This window comes from Homo sapiens, chromosome 7 (genome assembly GCF_000001405.40).
Source record: "Homo sapiens chromosome 7, GRCh38.p14 Primary Assembly".
NCBI classification, from domain to species: Eukaryota; Metazoa; Chordata; class Mammalia; order Primates; family Hominidae; genus Homo; species Homo sapiens.
In genome coordinates, this window is record NC_000007.14 from 31,371,226 (window position 1) to 31,393,900 (window position 22,675).

Genomic DNA, 22,675 nt, shown 5'->3' on the forward strand with positions numbered 1-22,675 from the left:
GGCACTATGTCTGTAAAATATTCTATAACATTTCTCGGCTTTAGTGAACAGATTATCACCCATTTTTATTTTCGTAGGAATCGGCATAGTTGGGACACTTAACTGAAATGATTGGACCACACTGTGAAGGACATAAAGAGCTATGAAAAATCCCAGCTTTGTTGCTCTACAGAACACAGAAATATCTGAATGAACAAATTCAGTAAGCCACCCTGATATGTTGTCTCTGCAACATGATCCATTCACCTATATATAGATATTTAGGTTTCTCATTTTCTTCTTGATGTTTGATATCATAAAAATATAGACAACATCCATGGATCCTGATGATCAAAAATGTTTTTCTCCAGGTCTTAAGATCGTTTAGTCAGAGGTGCATTTCAATGCAGTTGGTTCATTTCTGAGCCCTGGGACTCTCTTGTGTGTGTTTGTAGAAGGCATGGAATAACAGTTTGTTTTGCTCTCACCTTCACCTCTCTTCTTAAGGCGCAAGCTGAGCTTTATAGTTCAGAAGTTAAACACATTAGAATATTTATTTAAAGGCAATTGCACTTCCTGCTGTCTGGGTAGCTGGGCTCACCAGGCCACTAGACCCCCAAATGTGTATTTGCCTTCTGGTGGCCCAGCCTGCAGGGCCATTGTCTCCCTGTTGTTAGCAAATGGTTTCCTCCACAAGCCTTTTAACTCCACAAGTTTGCAACCATTAATTCTTAAGGGTTTTGACAAATCTCCCCAGTTAAATATTAAACAATAAATATGGCCCGGATGGTAACAGTGCATTGTGAAGTCTGTTTGAAGTGTCCTTTAAAATATTAAATTCAAATAAATGATTGAATCAGAACAAAGGCTATATCTTAAGACAAATTCAGCCAAGTCTCTTTAACCTTTGAGCTTTCAACATAGATTAGAAAGCCAGGGCAACGCATGCTTTCATAGCAAATTGAAATGGGATTTTTGAAACAGTTCCTGCAAATACAGGTAACCCATACCTAGGTTTGATCTGCCTTTGCCATTTTGGGGGAGAGATTTTGCTGCTCATTGTTTGATAAAAATGTGATTTTTTAAAAAGCCCTTATGTTCAAAGAAGCAAATCCTTGAAAACGCTAGCTTTGGGTGCTATGTTTATTCCTTGTCAATGTCTTCCATATGAAATCTGTTCTGCTTATAATATCTACCACAGTTGGAGCCTTGAAAAAAATCTGTTTCATATCTGCCCTTTGTACTTAGCTTATTTTGTTTTATGCTTCCCCCAAGTTATACGTCTGTAAGCTGTCTTTCTTCTAAGCAGGCGGTCCTAGAGGAGGAGGAATTGGGGGATTGCCCTGCATTTAGGGGAGCCTGGACTTCTAACACATGAATTATACCTTAGGTAGGAAGCAGGTAAAGGAGAAGAAGGTGGATTCACCAGCTGGGAAAAAAGATGAGTAAAGCCAAATTCTGCCTCCTTCTCACTCCTACACCCTGTGCGGCTGGTCCAGCACCCGTTGGCTCTTCTCTTGGGTTTGTGCTCTGCCACAGCGTCCCCATCTGTTCCATCTGTTTCCTCGACACTGCACAACCTCCGGTAGCTCTTGATCCAGCCTGCCCAGAACAATGACTCCACATACCCAAGCTTCTTAGAAGAGAGTGTGACACAGTTGGCTACAGGGCATGCACGATAAAGAGACCCTGTTATAATAAACACGGGTTGCTCATTAGGAGCATATGGTTGACATCGTGGGGGCTGAAAGGTGTGAGCATGTCGAAGACAAAGACACCCATCAAACATCTCTTGAATGAATGCTTGTGGGCTGCAAAGGTTTCTGAAAGGAGCAGAGTTTCTGCAAATGCACTGCACTCTGGGAGGCCTGTGGGTTTCTGTGCCCACCCTGGTGGGAGGATGCCCCAACACAAGGCAGTTTGGTCCTCAGCTAATGCCCTATTGTCTGAACGCTGTTTTGATGTAGACCTGTTCCCTGCCCCTTGCTGATGCTCCATCAGGTAGACAGGGATCTCCCTCACTTCAGGAATTGACAAAGCAATTGTCTGATGCCGGAGAGGCTAGACATTGTCCAAACCAGCAAAGGGAGCTTTGACATCCAGAGAGAGAGCCTCCCTGAAAACCTAGGAATAAGATGCTCTTCTTTCCTCTACAAGAAAGAGAAATATCATCTGATGGGACAGCCCCCATGGTTTCAGCACCACCCGGGAGGGAGCCTAATTAGGAGCCTGTTGCTGACTTGCAAGGCTAGACTTCTCCCAGAATCGGGGTCAGGCTGGTCAAAGGCACTATCTGCAGTTCCTGCATGTCCATTCTGTTCATGCCACTAGGGGTCCTCATTGGTTTGTTCAGGACAGAGCAAAAGGCAGCTTTTGAGATAGAAACCACCAGAAAGAGGCCTTCAATTTGACTTCTTTGTGGGTCTCAGGCTGTGTGGTCTTGGACAAGTTACTCAGAACCCCTGGGCCTCAGTGTCCTCATTTCTACAATGGGAAGAAGAAGGGGCTGAGAACTTACTTTCATGGAGGACCTACTAGGTGCCAGACATAGCTTTTGTTTTAATAGAGGTTCCTCCAGAAACAAAGCCCGAGACAAGGACGTGATACAGTGGTTTCTTTGGAAATTGTGGATCCCAGTTGAGGGTGACACAGAATAAGGAGAAGCTGACCTTCGGGTATGTCACGGAGGGGCTGCTGAGCACGGCAGAGGCTCGAGCCCAGGGAGACCTCCTCAGCAGGGTAGAGTGCCTCCGGGAGGCTGGGCCATTTGTCTGCCAGCTCCTGTCCCATATGGAGTAAGGGCTGCCTCTGAGGATGATGCATTTTACCACAGAGTGGAGAAGTCCCCAGAACAGAAAGTGGAGACACATGGTACACACTTAAGGTGGGTGAATCTGAAACCAGACAAGCTGTCACTGAAAACAGATGTGAGTCGAAGGGCTGTGATGCAAGCACCGGGGCCACCATGCTCAATGATACATGTATAGATATACATAGCCTGCCAATGCATTGGACACAGACGAGGCAAGGCTACTGTCTTCCTCCCAGAGTTGAGAGGAGCATATGAAGGAAAGTGCTGATGGTGACTGATACAGGGTAGATTTTGACTAATAGAACTCAGCATCTTGCTGGGGCAGGGAGAGTGTAGCTACTCAGACATTTCCACTGCCACAGAACCCCTCCCTCCACCGGGGCCACTGTGTGTGAGGAGAAGGAGCAATGTGAGGAAGAAAGGGGCCCTTACCAAGGAATCATTTGGGAGTGATTCAGCAAACCTTCTGTCTGCTAAGAATGAAGGTCGTTTTAGAATTTCTCTGTGCTTACCTGTGTAGGTGCAGGATCCTAGATATTTTTGAGATGATTAATTAAATCCAACAGGGAGATAACTTTCAGCAGCACATCAAACAGCCACAGAATGTGTGGCTAGCATTACATTTATGTGTGTGTAAAATCTTTTTAATATAATTATTACTGCATTCCCAAAAGACATACTTTTCCCAACTAGAAGAAAGACAGAAAGAAAGGAAGGAGGGAATCAAGGAAAGAAGGAAGAAAGGGAAAGAAGAAAAAGAGAGAGAAAAAAGAAGGAAGGAAGGAAGGAAGGAAGGAAGGAAGAAATCTGTATTAAATGGAGAGGAACTTGTGAACATAGATCAAAGCACAACTGGCCTCACATCCCCTCCAGTGGAAAATGTCGTGAGCCTAACAGGAGAGCAAAGTTTTGAGGTGGTGGCCAGGGTGCAGACATAGCCTCATTATAATGAAGAATTACCAATGTAATTATTAGCACCTGACTTTACCTAGAAGCACACATCTGCATTTCTACTTAGGATCATTCATACCTCAAATTATCTGAGATGAATTGCATCAAATTCCTAGTGAGATTTTCCAGAGAATTTACCAAAATTAGGTCATCATTTACCATCTCCTGTCTTGCTTACTTCCCTTTGGTGCTTGCCACCAGCAAAAGGTATTTTGAGTAAAAATAGTTACACTCTCTAGGCCAAAAGGTGCCCCCCATTTACCTCTGTACCCACAGACACTATCTTGGCTCAACCTCCTCTCAGCTTTCATCTATGTTTCTGTGACCTTCTCTGTACCTAGTGATCCTGCCTCTCTGCTTCCAGTCTTTTCCCTGCTCCAGTCCAAACTCCTCACTGCTCCGAGAGGGATCCTTCCAAATTGCGTATTTGAACATATATATCACCCCTCTGCCCCAAATCCTTCAATGGTTCCAGATGTTTTCAGGATAAGACTTAGGACCTCACATGACTGTGCCCTGTCTGCTTTTTTTGGCCCTCTCAGTCTCCACACACTTCTGCGGTTCTAACCAAACACCGTCCATTTACACACAATGCATCACACTCTGTGTCTTAGCTGGAAACAGCCACCCCACCTGTACCTGCTCAGCACTTCCTGGTAGGCTTCCCCAGCAAAGGCAGAGATTTTGTCTTTTTCATATCTGACCCCTTAGGACCAAGTACATGGCTCAGTCAATATTGAATGTGCTCAACAGAAACACAAATAACATAAAAGAAGCCTGCTTCTTTCTAAGTGGTGATTTGGCCAAACTACAGCATGGCAAAGGAGAGGTGGGGGAACAGTCTAGGTACTGGTAAGAAAAATATGTGATATAAATTTTCAACTCCTCCTGCATCAGGTCTTCATTATGTGTTTTATCTATTTTATTTAAAGAGAATTCTAAGAGCGCCACATCTCTGCACATTTAAATACATGCACCTTTGCCTGGACATATTGTGTGACAGAAGAAAACAGTAAAAAAATAAATACGTGAACCTTAGCAACAGAGCAAGACCTTGTGTCATAAATAAATACATCTTAAAAGCTCACACGAATGCTCTGTAACTGATTCTTGGGTTTTCCACCATTTAAAATTGTCTGATGCCCTTTATGATGAAGAATGAGAGTTGACTGGCAGCTATCTAGAACATAAATATTTCTAAGCTGTAACTTGTGGCCAAGTTAACTAATAGAGACATTCAATACAATAAGATTTGACATGTTTTTCAAGGCATGGGTGAAAATGAACCAGGTTGTGATTGAATAAGGTTTCCGGAAGTTAAACTCCTATAATTCCATGGATATAAAAATATGTAGGCTAACAACTGAATTTGCTGTCAAAAAAGTGCCTTTCACTCCAAAGAAGTAAAGTTATCCAAGTTCATCCCAAGAATAAATAGCAATATGGTTATTAAAAATAAGTGGCTTATTTGCCTTATATAACACATTGAAGACTATTTTTTATTATGCTTGTGCTACCAGCTGCAGGTCTAATTAATATTATTGGTGGCTTGAAGCAGAAGATAACGCACAGAAGTTTATTGTTGCTTACGTTGCTTTCTCCATGTGTAGCAGGCCCATGTGGAGGCAGCATTCATTTAGAGAACTCATTAAAACAGTCTCTTCTTGGCCGGGCACGGTGGCTCACGCCTGTAATCCCAGCACTTTGGGAGGCCGAGTTAGGTGGATTGCCTGAGCTCAGGAGTTCGAGACCAGCCTGGCCAACATGGTGAAACCCCGTCTCTACTAAAAATACAAAAATTAGCCGGACGTGGTGACGGGCGCCTGTAATCCCAGCTACTGAGGAGGCTGAGGCAGGAGAATCACTTGAACCTGGGAGGTGGAGGTTGCAGTGAGCTGAGACCATGCCATTGCACTCCAGCCTGGTGACAGAACGAGACTCCGTCTCAAAAAAACAAACAAAAAAACCAGTCTCTTCTTCATCAGGCACTGATAACACCAAACATATCTTGACTCATCCATTCATGAATTCACACATTCAATCCTATTCAAAATATTTATTGAACATTTATTTTTACCAGGCATGCTGTAACAAGGAACAATTTTTTCAGGGCCCATATGACAAGCTGATTACCCTCGGTAGGGAGCCTGGTGCAGACTGTCCCTGATGCCAGATGTATTAGGCAGATCCCAGGCAGAGGGAGTTTCTATCAATAATGTTTGAAAGAGAACCACCCAGCAAGGCTAGAACTAGGAGACAAGTGAAGCATTCAGTTCAGGTTCAGTTTCAAGGGAGGCATCATAATCCATGATGAACAAAATATCAACATTAAAACAAATCTTGCATTAAAATATTATCTTGATTACTGATTTTTTGTGCCCCCTTAAGTTTTTATTATTCAATTTTATTAAAATGTTTAAAAAATCAACTAATTATATTTTTTAGAGACAACGTCTCATGATGTTGTGTGGGCTGGAGTGCAGTGGCTGTCCACAGGCCCAATTACAGCACACTATAGCCTCAAAACTCCTGGGCTCAAGAGATCCTCCTGCCTCAGCCTCCTGAGTAGCTGGAACTACAGTGCACACCACTATGCCCCACTTTATTTTTATTGACAAAGAATAACTTTATATATTTTTGGTGTATAATGTGATGTGTTGATATATGTATATGTTATAAAATGATTAGATCAAGTCAATTAACAAATCCATCATCTCACAGACTTATTTTTTGTGGTACAAATATTTAAAAATCTACTGTCTCAGAAATTTTGAAATACACATTTCATTTATGCAATAGATCTCAAAAGAAATTCTGTCTAATTGAAACTTTGCATCTTTTGCCCAACACATCCCTTCCCCAAAGCCTCTGTTAGCTACTATTCTATTATCCTCTTCTATGAGTTCAACTTTTTTTGGATTCTTCATGCAGTGTTTGTTTCTCTACACCTGGCTTATTTCACTTAGCATGCCCCCCCCCAAAAAGTGAAAAATTATTTTATCTCATGGCCCTTATTTTTTGTTCAGGAGAGGATCCACGTGTACATTGTTTAACCAGTCTAAATATAGAGTATGTTAAGGAGAATAATGCCCTCCAGCTTCATCCATGCTGTTGAACATGGCAGAATTTCCTTCTTAATATTAAGGCCAAATAGTATTCCATTATGTATAATGATATGGTTTGGCTATGTCCCCACCCAAATCTCATCTTGAATTGTAGCTCCCATAATCCCCACGTGCCACGGGAGGGACCCGGTGGGAGGTAATTAAATCATAGGGACAGGTTTTTCCCATGCTGTTCTCATGATAGAGAATAACTCTCATGAGAGTTGATGGTTTTATAAAGGGGAGTTCTTCTGTACATGGTTTCTTGACTGCTGCCATGTAAGACATGCGTTTGCTCCTCCTTCACCTTCTGCCGTGATTGTGAGGCCTCCTGGCCATGTGCAACTATGAGTCTACTAAGCCTCTTTCCTTTATAAATTGCCCATTCTTGGGTATGTCCTTATAGCAGTGTGAGAACGGATTTATATCTATATATATATATATATATAGATATGTCACATTTTCTTTATCCATTCATCTGTTGACAGACACTGAAAACTGATAAATACAAAGCTCCATAAGAGACAACTATAAACAATTATATGCCAACAAAATGCATAACCATGCCCACATAAATGTGCACCTGAGGCAAATGCCTCACTCTCCTCTTTTTAGTCCTGACCCTGCCATCACGCAGATTTCATGGCTGTCTAAATGTTGTGAAAACTCTGGGATGGCATCTCTCTCCCTGTTCTCATGGGATCCTGCTTAAATGTATTTATTTATTTAGCGATAAAGCAATTCATTCCACAATAATAAATTATAGACTTAATATGTCAGGGAAAAAATACACGAGTGATTTTAGTTCATACTAATGAGTAAATGACTAATATCAATTCTTTCCACAAATCAAATTTAAGATAAAGATGATGAGCAAAGAATCCAACTAAATGCGTGTGCCCTGAGGGGAGAAAAGGCACAGGAAGAAAAGGCTGGGGACACATATAAGATGGGCATATTTGTGTTACAGTCCAGGTCATGCCCAGATGGTAGAAGTGGTAGATTCAGAGCTCATTAAGGCAATGGCTATTACTTCCATATTTTTCATGTAAGTATGCATGATTTTCTTCTTGAGGGAGGAGCCATAGGCACATCTTTGTATTTCCTTCATAATATAGCTAATTTTAATGGACAAGAACAAAGAAATTTAGAGTTAATAGTGAACATCTGTCCATGATTAACCCCAATTGCACTTAGAAATCAGAGGTGATCATGCCATTTTGAAATCACAATATTATCTTCCAGTGAAATTGGTTAGCCTGAGTTCTTTGTTACCAAAAGAAATCCTAGTACTCAGGTTTAAGTTCTCAGGTTTTTGGAAAATATTTATTTATAAATATAATGTTTATATATTTAAAATAAATTTTGTGATAATTGCCCTCTCCCCAACAAAAAGTTAAAAAAATTTCATCTCATCGCCCCCATTTTTTTTAATCAAGGGAATATCTAAGTGTACATTGTTTAACCAGTCTGAATATACAGTATTTTCAGGACAATAAAGTGGACATTTTGGTAATAGAAAGTTTATCCTGCAGCCCTTAATATATACATCAATGTACAATGTCACCAAAGTCAGAAAACTTTAACACAGAAATCCAAGCTCAGCCCTACTTCAAGATTGAAACCCATTTAAATTCCAAGAATAAGTAGCTGACAAAGATAATTTTCATAGATTAACATTTTTCACCTGGGTTTTATATTTCTGGAAGAAATATACACTGCATTGGTTATGCATTGATCAAACTTTTATTGTGCCAGCTGTACTTCATAGACCTGAAAAAGTGATTCAAGCAAAACAAAAGAGAACATAAAAGCACAACTATAATGGTTTTAAATCCCAAAGAGGCAATTACAAGTTTGATTCCAGTGATGCAGCTGGACTCCATTGGAAAACTAAACACCTTATCCATATTAAGTAGTTATGAAGGCTAGGGCTCGGGATGTAAATAATAAATTTGCACTGCAGTCATATTTGTAAAGTACAGCCCTTTTAATAAGTGGAAAGAATATGGTAATAAATTTCACACTAATTCATGTGCAAAGGAGAATTTTACAGAGTTCAAATGTGTTAAGACAGGTAAAAAATGTGAGGTATGAAATAACTAATCATTGGGATAAAACAAATGAAAAAAGATTACAATAATGTGCACAGGATTGGATTGTAACTCTTTAACCACTTGGAGCTGGGTTCAGCCTAATGCAGCTTTTTGTATGCATGATGTTTCTCTGCCTCTCTTTAAAAGAAAAATGAAAGTAAATGGGGCATTGTGCTGCTTCCCAAATTAATTCACAAAAGCCTAGGACAAGACACTTATAGAACTAATTGTTGCCTGGCTTAGAATATCTTTCTCTTCCCAAATTTTTAGACATAGGAATAAGAAGAGTAAAGAATTTGTACAGGATTCCATCCAGCATTAAGCAAGCAGAATGGGGCTCTTCCAAGCTCCCCTCTGAGTGCTTCAGATAGGCTCATTAATTCATTAATCTGCCAAAGGTTTAGTGTCTGTTACGTATCAGGCACTAGGGGTGCAAAGATCAGAAGGCACATCCTGAAGTCTCAAGATGTAATGGATTATTGGGGACAATAGATTGGCATACAGAGAACCCTAGTAAAAAACAAAACTAAATGAACAAACAAAAACGCATTGCCAAGTAGAGAAATTCACTGTTCGGTTGCAGAGAGAAGGTCTACTTAACTCTTTATCTTAGGGGAAATATTTCAGACAACGGCTTACTAGAAGAGTGAGACTTGAATATTTTGCCCTAAATCTTGCTGTTTATTGCAAATTACTGAGGGTTGCTCAATGTTTAGCCCATTTTTCCTTAATAGGCCATTCACAAAAATTAAGTTCTATTCTTACCAAGAAGACCAAGAAGAGTCTGATAATTATCCATAGAGTAAAATATGAAATTGGATTACTTCCTCATGCCAAACATAAAGGTAGATTTAAACATTAAATGTAAAAGGCAAAAATTTAAACATTTAGGAAAAAATACAGGATAATGTTTAATAAAGCTGGAGTAGGGAAAAAATTTTTAATCAATTTTCAAAGAAGTGCAAGACCTGAAGAAAAAGATAGACAATTTTCACAATATTAAGAGTTAAAAAACAAAACAAAACTGTGAGAAGACAACCCACGGCCTCGAGAAGATATTTCCAGCTTGTATAATCAATACAGAATTAGCACCCAGATATATGTAAATATATGGTATCAACAAATCAATAAGAAGAAATTTTAAAATAGAGAAATAGAATAAAGAAAACTAAACTAAAAAGTAAAGAAAAACATGAAGATGCTCAATCTCTTCAACTATCAGGAAAATTCAAATAAGACCACAGGGCCGGGCATGGTGGTGCATGCCTGTAATCCCAGCACTTTGGGAGGCCAAGGTGGGCAGATCACGAGGTCAAGAGATCGAGACCATCCTGGCCAACGTGGTAAAACCCTGTCTCTACTAAAAATACAAAAATTAGCCAGGCGTGGTGGTGCGTGCCTGTAATCCCAGCTATTCGGGAGGCTGAGGCAGGAGAATTGCTTGAACCTGGGAAGCAGAGGTTGCAGTGAGCCAGGATCATGCCACTGCACCCTAGCCTGGTGATAGAGTGAGACCCCCATCTCAAAAAAACCCACAAATTTCACATGTGTCAGATTGTCAAAAAGACAAAAAGACTAACAATACACACTACTGGCGAGGAAGTGGGACCACAGGAACACTCACATTCTGTTGGTGGGATTAAATTAGTACAACCACACTGAAAAACAATATGGCAAAATCTAGTACAGGTGAAGATGTGCATACTTTATGACCCAGCAAACTCACTGACATATACCCTGGAGAAACTCTTATATATGTACATGGAAGACATGTCTAAAAAGGACATACTTTGGCTATGAAAGAGGTAAAATATCCATGAATAAGAAAGTGAGTAAATAAATGGTAGTGTATTCATTAATGAAATACTATACAGCAGTGAACATTAATGAACATGCTAGATATTTAATGAAAAGGGGAGATAATGAAAATGAAGGAGAAAGGAAATGTGCATGTTAAAGAGAAGCCGATCCTGGAGCAGCCACAGATTTTTCAGAATAAATGAAGGTCTTGGGACTGAGGTCTGGAGTTTGAATGCCCATACAGAGCAGGGAGTGGACTGCAGCCCATCCAGAACAGGGAAGCAAGACCAAAGCTCCACAAAGAAAGCTTCTAGCTTCAAAGTCTTTTCTTTCCTCACTATCTAGAAAAAATTTCCTTCACTGGCCTGGTGAAGCAGCAAAAAGGTTTGCTCTCAGAAGAAAGAAGGCACTCACAAAAACTTGAAATTCTAGGCCTATACCCCTGCACTAAGGAATCCCAAGTGAACCACAAACATGATTAGGAGACCCCATGCTGAGTAATCAACAAAAAAGTTATTCCAGAGTGAGGACAAAATAATAAGAATGTCAGTGAGTGACTCAGTTTACTATATGCAAATGCTCACTGGAAGATCTCTTGAAGGCTGAACTTTAGAAAGAAGGAAATTGGATCCAGGCCAAGACCCCAAAGAAGGATGAAGTCATGAGAGAATAAAAGATGAATATAAATTTTAAATGGCTATACAAGCAAAACTATAACAATAATGACTAAATGGGGTAGGGGTAGAGTGGTTTAAAAAAAGTTGAAATTAACATATGAGGTCAGAATAACATGGAAGACTGGTAATGGGAAAATGGATTTAAGGCGTCTGAAGGCCATAGTAGTGTAGAATAAATAGGTATATAGGTGATTTCAGACTTCATTATGGGCCGTAGGCTTGCTACCTCTGCTCACAACTTACCAATAATCCCATTTTAAGCTCTTTCACTTGAGTCATTTGAATGTACTGCTTTCTCTCATGACTCATTTTGGTACATACTTGAATACTTACATTAGAAATTGAGAAAGGTTGTAAATAAATGAGCTAATATTTCAATTCAAAATGTAAATAGAAGAAAATTGAATAAATGAGCTAATAAAGGAAGAACAAAAATTAATGATACAGGAAATAGATATGTGAGAGGATCAAAAAAATAAAAACCTAGTTCTTCAAAGAAATTGAAAAAAATGTTGGTATTGTTCATGGAAAACAGAAAAGAAACAAATAATATCAGAAGCACAGAAGGGTCACGGTGACAGTGTAAATTACATATGTCATAAGAGAGCATTTTGAAAACCTTTATGCTAAATTTTTATAAAGTGTAGACAAATTTGAACAAATTACCAAGGATGGCTTGAAAATTATCAGAATGCTTTAATATTTTCAAAGGATTTAAATCCTAATATTCTGAAAGAATTTAGACTATTAATGAAAATCTACCTCCCAAAAGCACCACACCCAGTTCTATCAGTGTGATGAAGAAAAGAAGCACCTATCTTATAACACTCTTCCAGAAAATAAAAAAAGCTAAGCTCCCCACCTGCCTATATGGGTCTGCTCTACCTTTGATGCAATAATTTTAAATTTTTGTAATATAAAATGTATCAAAATGTATAAAGCAAAAATAATAGAAATAAATCAGGGCAAAGCTATGTTAACCTATTTATTACATAAATTCAGCATTTTTTTTGAGACAGAGTCTTGCTCTGTCGCCAGGCTGGAGTGCAGTGGTGGGATCTCAGCTCACTGCACCCTCCACCTCCCGGGTTCAGGCGATTCTCCTGCCTCACCCTCCCGAGTAGCTGGGATTACAGGCACCCACCACCACACCCGGCTAATTTTTGGTATCTTTAGTAGAGACAGGGTTTCACCATGTTGGCCAAGCTGGTCTCAAACTCCTGACCTCATGATCTGCCCACCTTGGCCTCCCAAAGTGCTGGGATTACAGGCGTGAGCCACCGTCCAGGGCCAAACTCAGCATATTTATATATAGAGTACCCACCATGATGAAATTAGAGAAGGCAGCTGTCTGAGGTGTGAACCTAATGGTACAAAATGGCTGCCATGTGGCTACAACAGTGTCCCTGGAATGCCACATGTTGAGACATGTCCCTTTAAGAATTTTTAGTCTTAGGGGTTTGTGCACAACAGAGAGCAGAACCTCATTGTGAGTGAGAACATCATGGAATGGAAGCTGGGAAGTGAAAGGAGTTCAGGGAAGTGGAATTGATTTGTTTTATAATTTCCCCATGATCAGCCTGCCAATTTATTCCTAGAATCTGCACAGCAAGCTGGTTTTCCCTATACATATAAGATGACTATTTGTACATGCTTTGATTGTCATTTTTGATTTCTTACAAACCCAGATATATTCCTACACTTGTCTAGTTGCTTCTGAACACCAAATAGAGTGACTGTTGTCTACCGTCTTAAGAGTCATTTGGGTCATGAAATTAAAATTTGCAATTGTTTCCACTACATAGGCAGCGTCAAACCATGCCACCTAATTTCCTATGGCCATGTTTCTTGTAGTTGTCTTGTAAAACTGCAATATTAAAAAAGAAGACATTTCTGACATGACTGTACACTTTTGAAAGTCATATTGCAAGTATACATGCGTTGAGTTAACACAGATCTTGGAGATTTTTCAGACTTGAAAAATGCCACTTTTTTTTTAACCTCATACAACATCTCTTTAGCCTGAAGCCTTTTCACTCCTCTTATCTGGTGTGAGTGAGATTGGTCTGTAGAAATCAAAGTTACTAAGGAATGCCACAGCTCTGAGACAGAATAAACTATTTTATCGTGTCTCCTTTCTTGAGGACCAGTTTAAAAGGAATGCAGTAGCTTTAAACCCAGGCAAGCGACAGCCCTGCAGCCTGTCTCCCTCTGCACGGGAGCCCTGTCTCATCTGTGTTACCCCTGGAAGGCATTCTGGCCAGCCATTAAGAATTTTGTTCTTGGTATACAGAAGACCTGAATATAAATTCTGACTCTGCAATATACTGGCTGACAGATGCTGGGGGAGGCATGCACTTCTCTGAGCCCGTTTTCCTTATGTGTGAGGTGGGGATAATTTCTATCCCAAAGGATTGTTGATTAAGTAAAATAACTCCTGTGAAATCTGGTGCCGGCAAACAGTGAGGCCGAAACCAGTAATCATTACTCTTCAGAGACTGACCTGGAGGTCCTCTCAGGAAGAAACTCATGCCAAGAGAGGAAAGGTGTATGAAGTCAGTTTGAGGTCATGGACCAAGGGGATTCTTTCTACAGCAAGGTGTCCACCACGCAGACTGTCCTACAGCCCAAGCCTCATAACTTCTGCCTAAGTTTCAAGATGAGCAGTATAATAAAGAACAAGTCAAAAACAGAAAACTGGGCCGGTGCAGTGGCTCATGCCTGTAATCCCAGCACTTTGGGAGGCCGAGGCGGGCAGATGACGAGGTCAGGAGAATGAGACCATCCTGACTAACACGGTGAAATCTCGTCTCTACTAAAAATACAAAAAATTAGCCAGGTGTGGTGGCATGTGCCTGTAGCCCCAGCTACTTGGGAGGCTGAGGCAGGAGAATCGCTTGAACCCTGGAGGTGGAGGTTGCAGTGAGCCGAGATCACGCCACTGCACTCCAGCCTGGCTGACAGAACGAGACTCTGTCAAAACAAAAAACAAACAAACAAAAAACAGAAAACTGGTTTTACCAAGAACTTTAGATGCTGTGAGCAGGAGCCAGTGCTGTGTGGCAGCTCATGTATGTAGGTGTGGCATAGGGAGATAAAGGACGCTTTCCATACACGGGCCTTGTGATGGTGAGAGTCTTGGACATGGTGATGTGCCATAAGAGATCTGGGGGACAGTATGCTTCAGGAGCTCTGGGTCCTGCTCACAGCAGGTGTCACTCAGTGGCTGGAGGACAAGGAGATGGCATGATAGATGCATGGACTACCAAGAAGGACCCATCCCCAGACCCAGTATGGAGGTCTTCAAGATGGTGCTCAAGTTTCCACTTGAGAAATGGGTAAAGGTGGAGCCAGAGAAAAAGGAACTCTTACCCAGGCTGGTCTGGTGGTGTGAACCCAGGTTACCTTTTACATCCTGAGTGACGCGTAACAAGCCTCTACAGTCTAAATTTCAAGGTCTAGTTCCTCTTGAGAGGGCTTGCCATCTATTTTTTTTCCCTCTCTCTATTTGTCTGTCTCTCATTTACATCCTTTTAAGAATATGATTAATAAACTCTCATGTATTTAGACTTATTTGTTGGGTTTTGCCTAACTTTTTCTGTTTTACTTTTCTTTATTTTTATTTTTCAATAGGTTTTTGGGGAACAGGTGGTTTTTGGTTACATGGATAAGTTCTTTAGTGGTGATTTCTGAGATTTTGGTGCACCCATCACATGAGCAGTGTACACTGTACTCAGTGTGTAGTCTTTCATCCCTCACCCCTGCTCCCACCCTTCCACATGAGTCCTCAAAGCCCATTGCCTCATTCTTATGCATTTGCATCCTCATTGCTTAGCTGCTACTTATAAGTGAAAACATACAATGTTTGTTTTTCTCATTCCCACGTTACTTCACTTAGAATGATAATCCCTAACAACTCCATCCAGGTTGCTGTGAATGCCATTATTTTTTTCCTTTTTATGGCTGAGTAGTATTCCATGGTGTGTGTGTGTGTATGTGTGTATATATATGTGTATATACACACACACGTGTATATATATGTGTATATACACACACATATATGTGCATATGTGTGTATATACACACACATATATGTGCATATGTGTGTATACACACACATATATGTGCATATGTGTGTATATACACACATATATGTGCGTATATACACACATATATGTGCATATGTGTGTGTATACACACACATATATGTGCATATATGTGTGTATATATACACGTGTATATACATATACACGTGGGTATATACATATACACGTGGGTATATACATATACACGTGTATATACATATACACGTGTGTATACATATACACGTGGGTATATACATATACACGTGTATATACATATACACACATATGTATATATGTGTATATACGTATATATGTGTATATGTGTATATATGTATATATGTATATGTATATGTATGTATATATGTATATGTATATGCGTATATATGTATATGCGTATATATGTATACGTGTATATGTGTATATGTGTTTATGTATATATACATATACACATATACACATATATACACATATACATATACACGTATACACGTATACATATACACGTATACACGTATATATATACACGTATACACGTATATATACACATATACACGTATACACGTATATATACACATATACATGTATACACGTATATATACACATATACACGCATATATGTATATATACACATATACATACACACGTGTGTGTATGTGTGTATATGTGTGTATATGTGTGCATACACACACGTGTGTATGTGTGCATACACACACGTGTGTATATGTGTGTATATATTTACACACATACATATATACATGTATAAATATATATATATATACACATATACATATATACCATGGAATACTGTATATATATATAGTGCAACAAAATAAGATAAATGAATAGGGCTTAATTGGATTTTTTTTTTTTCTGAGACGGAATCTTGCTCTGTCACCCAGGCTGGAGTGCAGTGGCACAATCTCGGCTCACTGCAATCTCTGCCTCCCAGGTTCAAACAATTGTCCTGCCTCAGCCTCCCAAGTAGCTGGGATTACAGGTGCCTGCCACCACTCCCAGCTAATTTTTGTATTTTTAGTAGAGATGGGGTTTCACCATGTTGGCGAGGCTGGTCTCAAACTCCTGACGTTGTGATCTGGCTGCCTCAGCCTCCCAAAGTGTTGGGATTACAGGTGTGAGCCACTGCGTTCAGCCAATTAGATAGTATTTTGATGGGAATTGCATTGAATTTGTAGATTGCTTTTGGCTGTATGGTCATTTTCACAATATTGATTCTACTCATCGGTTAATATGAGATGTGTTTCCATTTGTTTATGTTGTCCTTCAACAATGTTTTGTAGGTGACCTTGTAGAGGTCTTTCACCTTCTTGGTTAGGTATATTCTTAAGAATTTTATTTTATTTTTTGCAGCTTTTGTAAAAGGGATTGAGATAAAGGGATTGAGTTATTTATTTGATTCTCAGCTTGGTTGCTGTTGGTGTATAGCAATGCTAATGATTTGTGCACATTGATTTTGTACTCTGAAACTTTATTGAATTCATTTATCAGATCTAGGAGTCTTTTGGATGAGTCCTTAGGATTTTCTAGGTATGTGATCATATTATCAGCAAACAGCGACTGTTTGACTTCCTCTTTACTGATCTGGATGCCTTTTATCTCTTTCCCTTGTCTGATTGCTCTGGCTAGGACTTCCAGTCGTATGTTAAATAGAAGTGGGCATCCTTGTCTTGTTGCAGTTCTTGGGGGGATGCTTTCAACTTTTCCCCATTCAATATAATGTTGGCTGTGGTTTTGTCATAGATAGCTTTTATTACCTTAAGTTATGTCACTTCTATGCCAATTTTGCTGAGTGTTTTAATAAAAAAGAGATGCTGGATTTTGTCAAATGCTTTCTCTGTGTCTACAGAGATGATCATGTGATTTTGGTTTTTAATTCTGTTTATGTGGTGTATCACATTTATTGACTTGTGCTTGTTAAACCATCCCTGCATCCCTGGTATGAAACCCACTTGATCATGGTGGATTATCTTTTTGATATGCTATTGGATTCAGTTGGCTCATATTTTGCTGAGGATTGTTGCATCTATGTTCATCAGGGATATTGGTCTGTAGTTTTCTTTTTTTGTTAGGTCTTTTTCTGGTTTTGGTATTAGGGTGATACTGGCTTCACAGAATGATTTAGGGAGCATTCCCTCTTTCTCTATCTTTTGGAATAGTTTCAATAACATTGGTAGGAATTTTTCTTCGAATGTCTGATAGAATGCAGCTGTGAATCTATCTGATCCTAAACATTTTTGTTGGCAATTTTTTATTACCATTTTAATCTCACTGCTTGTTATTGATTTGCTCAGAGTTTCTATTTCTTCTTGATTTAATCTAGGAGGGTGGTTTATTACCAGGAATTTCTCCATCTCCTCTAGGTTTTCTAGCTTGTGTGCATAAAGGTGTTGATAGTAGTCTTGGATGATCGTCAGTATTTCTATGGTATCAGATGTAATATCTCCCGTTTTGTTTCTCATTGAGCTTATTTGGATCTTCTCTCTTCTTTACTTGGTTACTCTTACTAATAGTCTATCAGTTTTGTTTATCTTTTCAAATAACAAACTTTTTGTTTCATTTATCTTTTGTATTTTTTTTGTTTCAATTTCATTTAGTTCTGCTCTGATCTTTGTTATTTCTTCTCTTCTGCTGGGTTTGGGCTTGATTTGTTTTTGTTTCTCTAGTTCCTTGAAGTGTGACCTTAGATTGCCCATTTGTGCTCTTTCAGACTTTTTGATGTAGGCATTTGATGTTATGAATTTACCTCTTAGCACTGTTTTTGCTGTATTCCAGAGGTTTTCATAGGTTGTGTCACTATTATCATTCAGTTCAAAGAATTTTAAAATTCCATCTTGACTTCATTGTTGAACCAATGATCATTCAGGAACAGATTATTTAACTTCAATGTATTTGCATGGATTTCAGGCTTCCTTTTGGAGTTGATTTCCAATTTTATTCCACTGTTATCTGAGGCAGTACTTAATATAATTTCAATATTCTTGAATTTATTGAGGCTTGTTTTGTGGCCTATCATATGGTCTATCTTGAAGAATGTTCCATGTGCTGATGAATAGAATGTATATTCTGCAGTTGTTGAGTAGAATGTTCTGTAAATATTTGTTAAGTATTTGTTGTAGGGTATAGTTTAAGTCCATTGTTTCTTTGTTGACTTTCTGTCTTGATGACCCGTCTAGTGGTGTCAGTGGAGTATTGAAGTCCTCCACTATCATTGTGTTGCTGTCTATCTCATTTCTCAGGTCTAGTAGTAATTGTTTTATAAATTAGGGAGCTCCAGTGTTAGGTGCATATATATTCAGAATTGGAATATTTTCCTGTTGGACTAGTCCTTTTATCATTATACAGTATCCTTCTTTGTCTTTTTAAACTGTTGTTTTTTTAAAGTCTGTTTTGTCTAAGAATATCTACTCCTGCTTGCTTTTGGTGTCCATTTGCATAGAATATCTTTTTCCACCTCTTTACCTTAAGTTTATGTGAATCTTTAGGTGGTAGGTGAGTCTCCTGAAGACAGCAGATAGTTGGTGGGTGAATTTTTATCCATTCTTCCATTTTGTATCTTTTAAGTGGAGCATTTAGGCCATTTACGTTCAACATTAGTATTGAGATGTGAGGTACTAATCTATTCATCGTGATAGTTGTTGCCTGAATATCTTGGGTTTTTTTTCTCATTGTGTTATGTTTTATAGGCTTTGTGATATTTATACTGCAAGGAGGTTCTATTTTGGTGTATTTTGAGGTTTTGTTTCAAGATTTAAAACTCCTTTTAGCAGTTCTTGTAGTGCTGACTTGGTAGTGGAGAATTCTCTCAGCATTTGTTTGTCTGAAAAAGACTATCTTTCCTTCATTTATGAGGCTTAGTTTTGGTAGATACAAAATTCTTGGCTGATAATTGTTTTGTTTAAGGAGGCTAAAGATACAGCCCCAATCCCTTTAGTTTGTAGAGTTCCTGCTGCAAAATGTGCTGTTAATCTTATAGGTTTTCCTTTATAGGTTACCTGATTCTTTTGCCTCACAGCTGTTAAGATTCTTTCCTTTGTCTTGACTTTAGATAACCTGATGACTATGTGCCTTGGTGATGATCTTTTTGCAATAACTTTTCCAGGTGTTTTTTTGAGCTTCTTGTGTTTGGATATCTAGATCTCTAGCAAGGCCAGGGAAGTTTTCCTCGATTATTTCCTCAAATAATTTTTCCAAACTCATAGATATCTCTTCTTCCTCAGGAGCACCAATTATTCTTAGGTTTGGTTGTTTCACATAGTCCCAAACTTCTTGGAGGCTTTGCTCATGTTTTTAAAATGTTTCTTTTTTGTCTTTGTTGTATTGGGTTAATTTTAAAGCCTTGTCTTCAAGCTCTGAGGTTCTTTCTTCTACTGACCCTGCAGAGACCCTGCAGGGACTCAGGGAAGCTTTTAAGCTTCCAAATATAGAAGAATTTTTAATACTTGTTGTCTGTTCAGAGAAAAATGATAAAATTAACACAACAAAATTTTGAGGAAAAGTTAAAGAAATGTGGAGAGTTTAAACTCAGGAATATAAGGTTGGGATGAAATCTGGTAATGGGCTTTTCATATTTGAGGTTATACAGGACACAAGCCTCTTTGCTCTAAGCCTGTTCTCTCACACAATGGCTGTAAATAAAAGGGGTACTTCAAATGGAATGAACTTGCCTCTTCTGGCTTCTTCTGGCTGAGTCCACCCCAAAGGCCTCAAGGAGGAAGGCAAGTGGTGTACCCCAGGCCTCATGGAGGCAGTTGGTCATTGGAGGTCCTTCTCTTCAGCGGGGTTCTCACAAAAGATTCTAGGATGGTTAGGCCGGGCGTGGTGGCTCACACCTGTAATCCCAGCACTTTGGAAGGCCGAGGCGGGCAGATCACGAGGTCAGGAGATCGAGACCATCCTGGCTAACATGGTGAAATCCTGTCTCTACTAAAAATACAAAAAAAAAAAAAAAAAAATTAGCCAGGTGTGGTGGCGGGCACCTGTAGTCCCAGCTACTAGGGAGCCTGAGTCAGGAGAATGGTGTGAACCCGGGAGACGGAGCTTGCCGTGAGCTGAGATTGCACCACTGCACTCCAGCCTGGGCGACAGAGCGAGACTCCATCTCAAAAAAAAAAAAAAAAGATTCTAGGATGGCGAGAAGAGAGATTTTCCTCACCTCCACTGCTAAGAGAGGTTGTTTCCTAACCCTTGGCCTTGCCTCCAGGCTCTTCTTTTTGGTCCTCACTGCTGATATAGGCTTCCGTTTCTTTTGTTCTTATTTTAAATTACAGGACTTTTCCATTTTACTTCCCCGTCTTAAACAACAACAGCTTTGAATACCTCTTCATTGTGTCTGAAATAAAGTTCTGACTCTCGGTTATGGCATTTATAACTCCTCATATCCTGACCCTGATCTTGTTTAGCCTAAGTTTTTCAATCAATCCACTCACTGCCATCTACGCCCCTACAAGGGCGCAAGCACATGGGGATTTTCATGCCTCAGAGCCTCCTCGTGTTCAAACTCAATCCAAATGCTGTTTCCTCTATAAAATCTTCCCTGACTCCTCATCAATGTAACAATGGCTAGGCATACATAGTTCTATAATCTAGTTTATTACATGACGTTATAGTCTTAATTTTTTTTTTTTTTTGTATGTCTGTCTCTTCCATAGACTGAGCTCCCTCAGGGCAGATTCTCTATTTCTCTCTTTTTATTAACCTCAACATCTAGCACAAGGTCTGGCACAAAGACTTTGCTTAATAAATTCTGGTTGAATTGCCTATGGCCAGGGAAGATTGTGAGTTAATTATAAAGGAAAGAGTTTGTGATTTTCATTCCCAGGTGGATGAGTTTGGGAAATACTCTCAAGCTTCCCCCTCAATGGTCTTAATATCAAGACCTCTTTTCTACAGTCTGTGCCTGTAACTCATAAGTCCCAGGCTCTGAAAAGAGCTGCCTGGGTTTGAATCTAGCCCCCTTGAGGCTGTGTGGCTTCTGGTGATCATTTAACCTTTAACTTTTCCTCAACTGTGAAACAAAGAACTTCATGGCTGCATCTTAGTTCTGCTGTAAGAATGAAATAAGATAATCCACATAAAATTAGCACCTCACATTTGTGGGCTAGGCACTGTTCTAAGCGCTTTACATACTGCCTTCTTTCTAACAACCTCAAGAGCAGTGTGCTGTTTTAATCATTAGATGAGAAAACTGAGATATAAAGAGGCTAAATAACTTTACAGTGTTTGTTCACTTAGCTATTAAGTGGCTGAGCTGAATTCTGCTTCTCAAGTCTGCCTTCTTAACCAATCTTGCCGTTTATTTTATTTTTTTATTAAAATGTTTTATTATTTTAGTTTGCAAATCATAATTTATATATATATATTTCTGGGGTAAAATGTGATGTTTTCATATATGTATACAACATGGAATAATTGAGTTAATTAACATATGCATCACCTCACTGTGAAAGTTGTCGGAATCAAAATAAAATGTCTTATGTTAAAAACCCTGACAAATAGAGCTGAGGAAAACCAAGAATAGTGGGTTCTCATACACAAATGCCTCATAACAAGAACTATCACAAAAGGCTCAGCAAAAACCACAACTTTGTGCAAAGGCCATTGAAACCTTACACAAAAATACACTTATTCAAGGACGTCTGCCCAGCAACTGCCTTTCCAACCTCGGACCGGCCACAACCCTTGTCATTGATCCTTGTAGCCAAGGATAATTATCTTAAAACAACTATGTTTTCCTCCCCTTTTCTCTTTTAAAAACCTTTGTGTTCTTTTACCTCCCTGAATATACACATAGTTGACTATGGCATGCATATTCCTATTGTAAATACCTATCCCTGAATAAATAGCATTTTCTTTTTGAGAGTCTCCCTCTCTGCTTGTTATTTAGGTTGACATTTACCCATCATTTCTTGTGGTGAGAAATTTAAAATTTATTCTCAGCAATTTTGAAATATACAATATATTGTTATTAATTATAGTCACGCTGCTGTGCAATAGATCTCAAAAATGAGTTCCGCCTGTCTAAATGAATCTTTGTATCCTTTGACAATGTTATATTCTACACTCCTTACATTAAGAGCATCAACTTGAACCACTTAATGTGAACTAGGAATACTATGATTCTTTAGCTTTCCTTTGCACCAAGGTTTTCTGTCTT

General features: G+C 39.1%; 1 annotated feature.

Annotated features, from left to right (window-relative positions):
* Nucleotides 346-965: an enhancer, noted in NCBI's record as "NANOG hESC enhancer chr7:31411185-31411804 (GRCh37/hg19 assembly coordinates)". NCBI's record gives its function as "activates a minimal SCP1, AML or CMV promoter by ChIP-STARR-seq in naive H9 embryonic stem cells {active_cell/tissue: H9 hESC(naive)}" and the evidence as "EXISTENCE:reporter gene assay evidence [ECO:0000049][PMID:30033119]".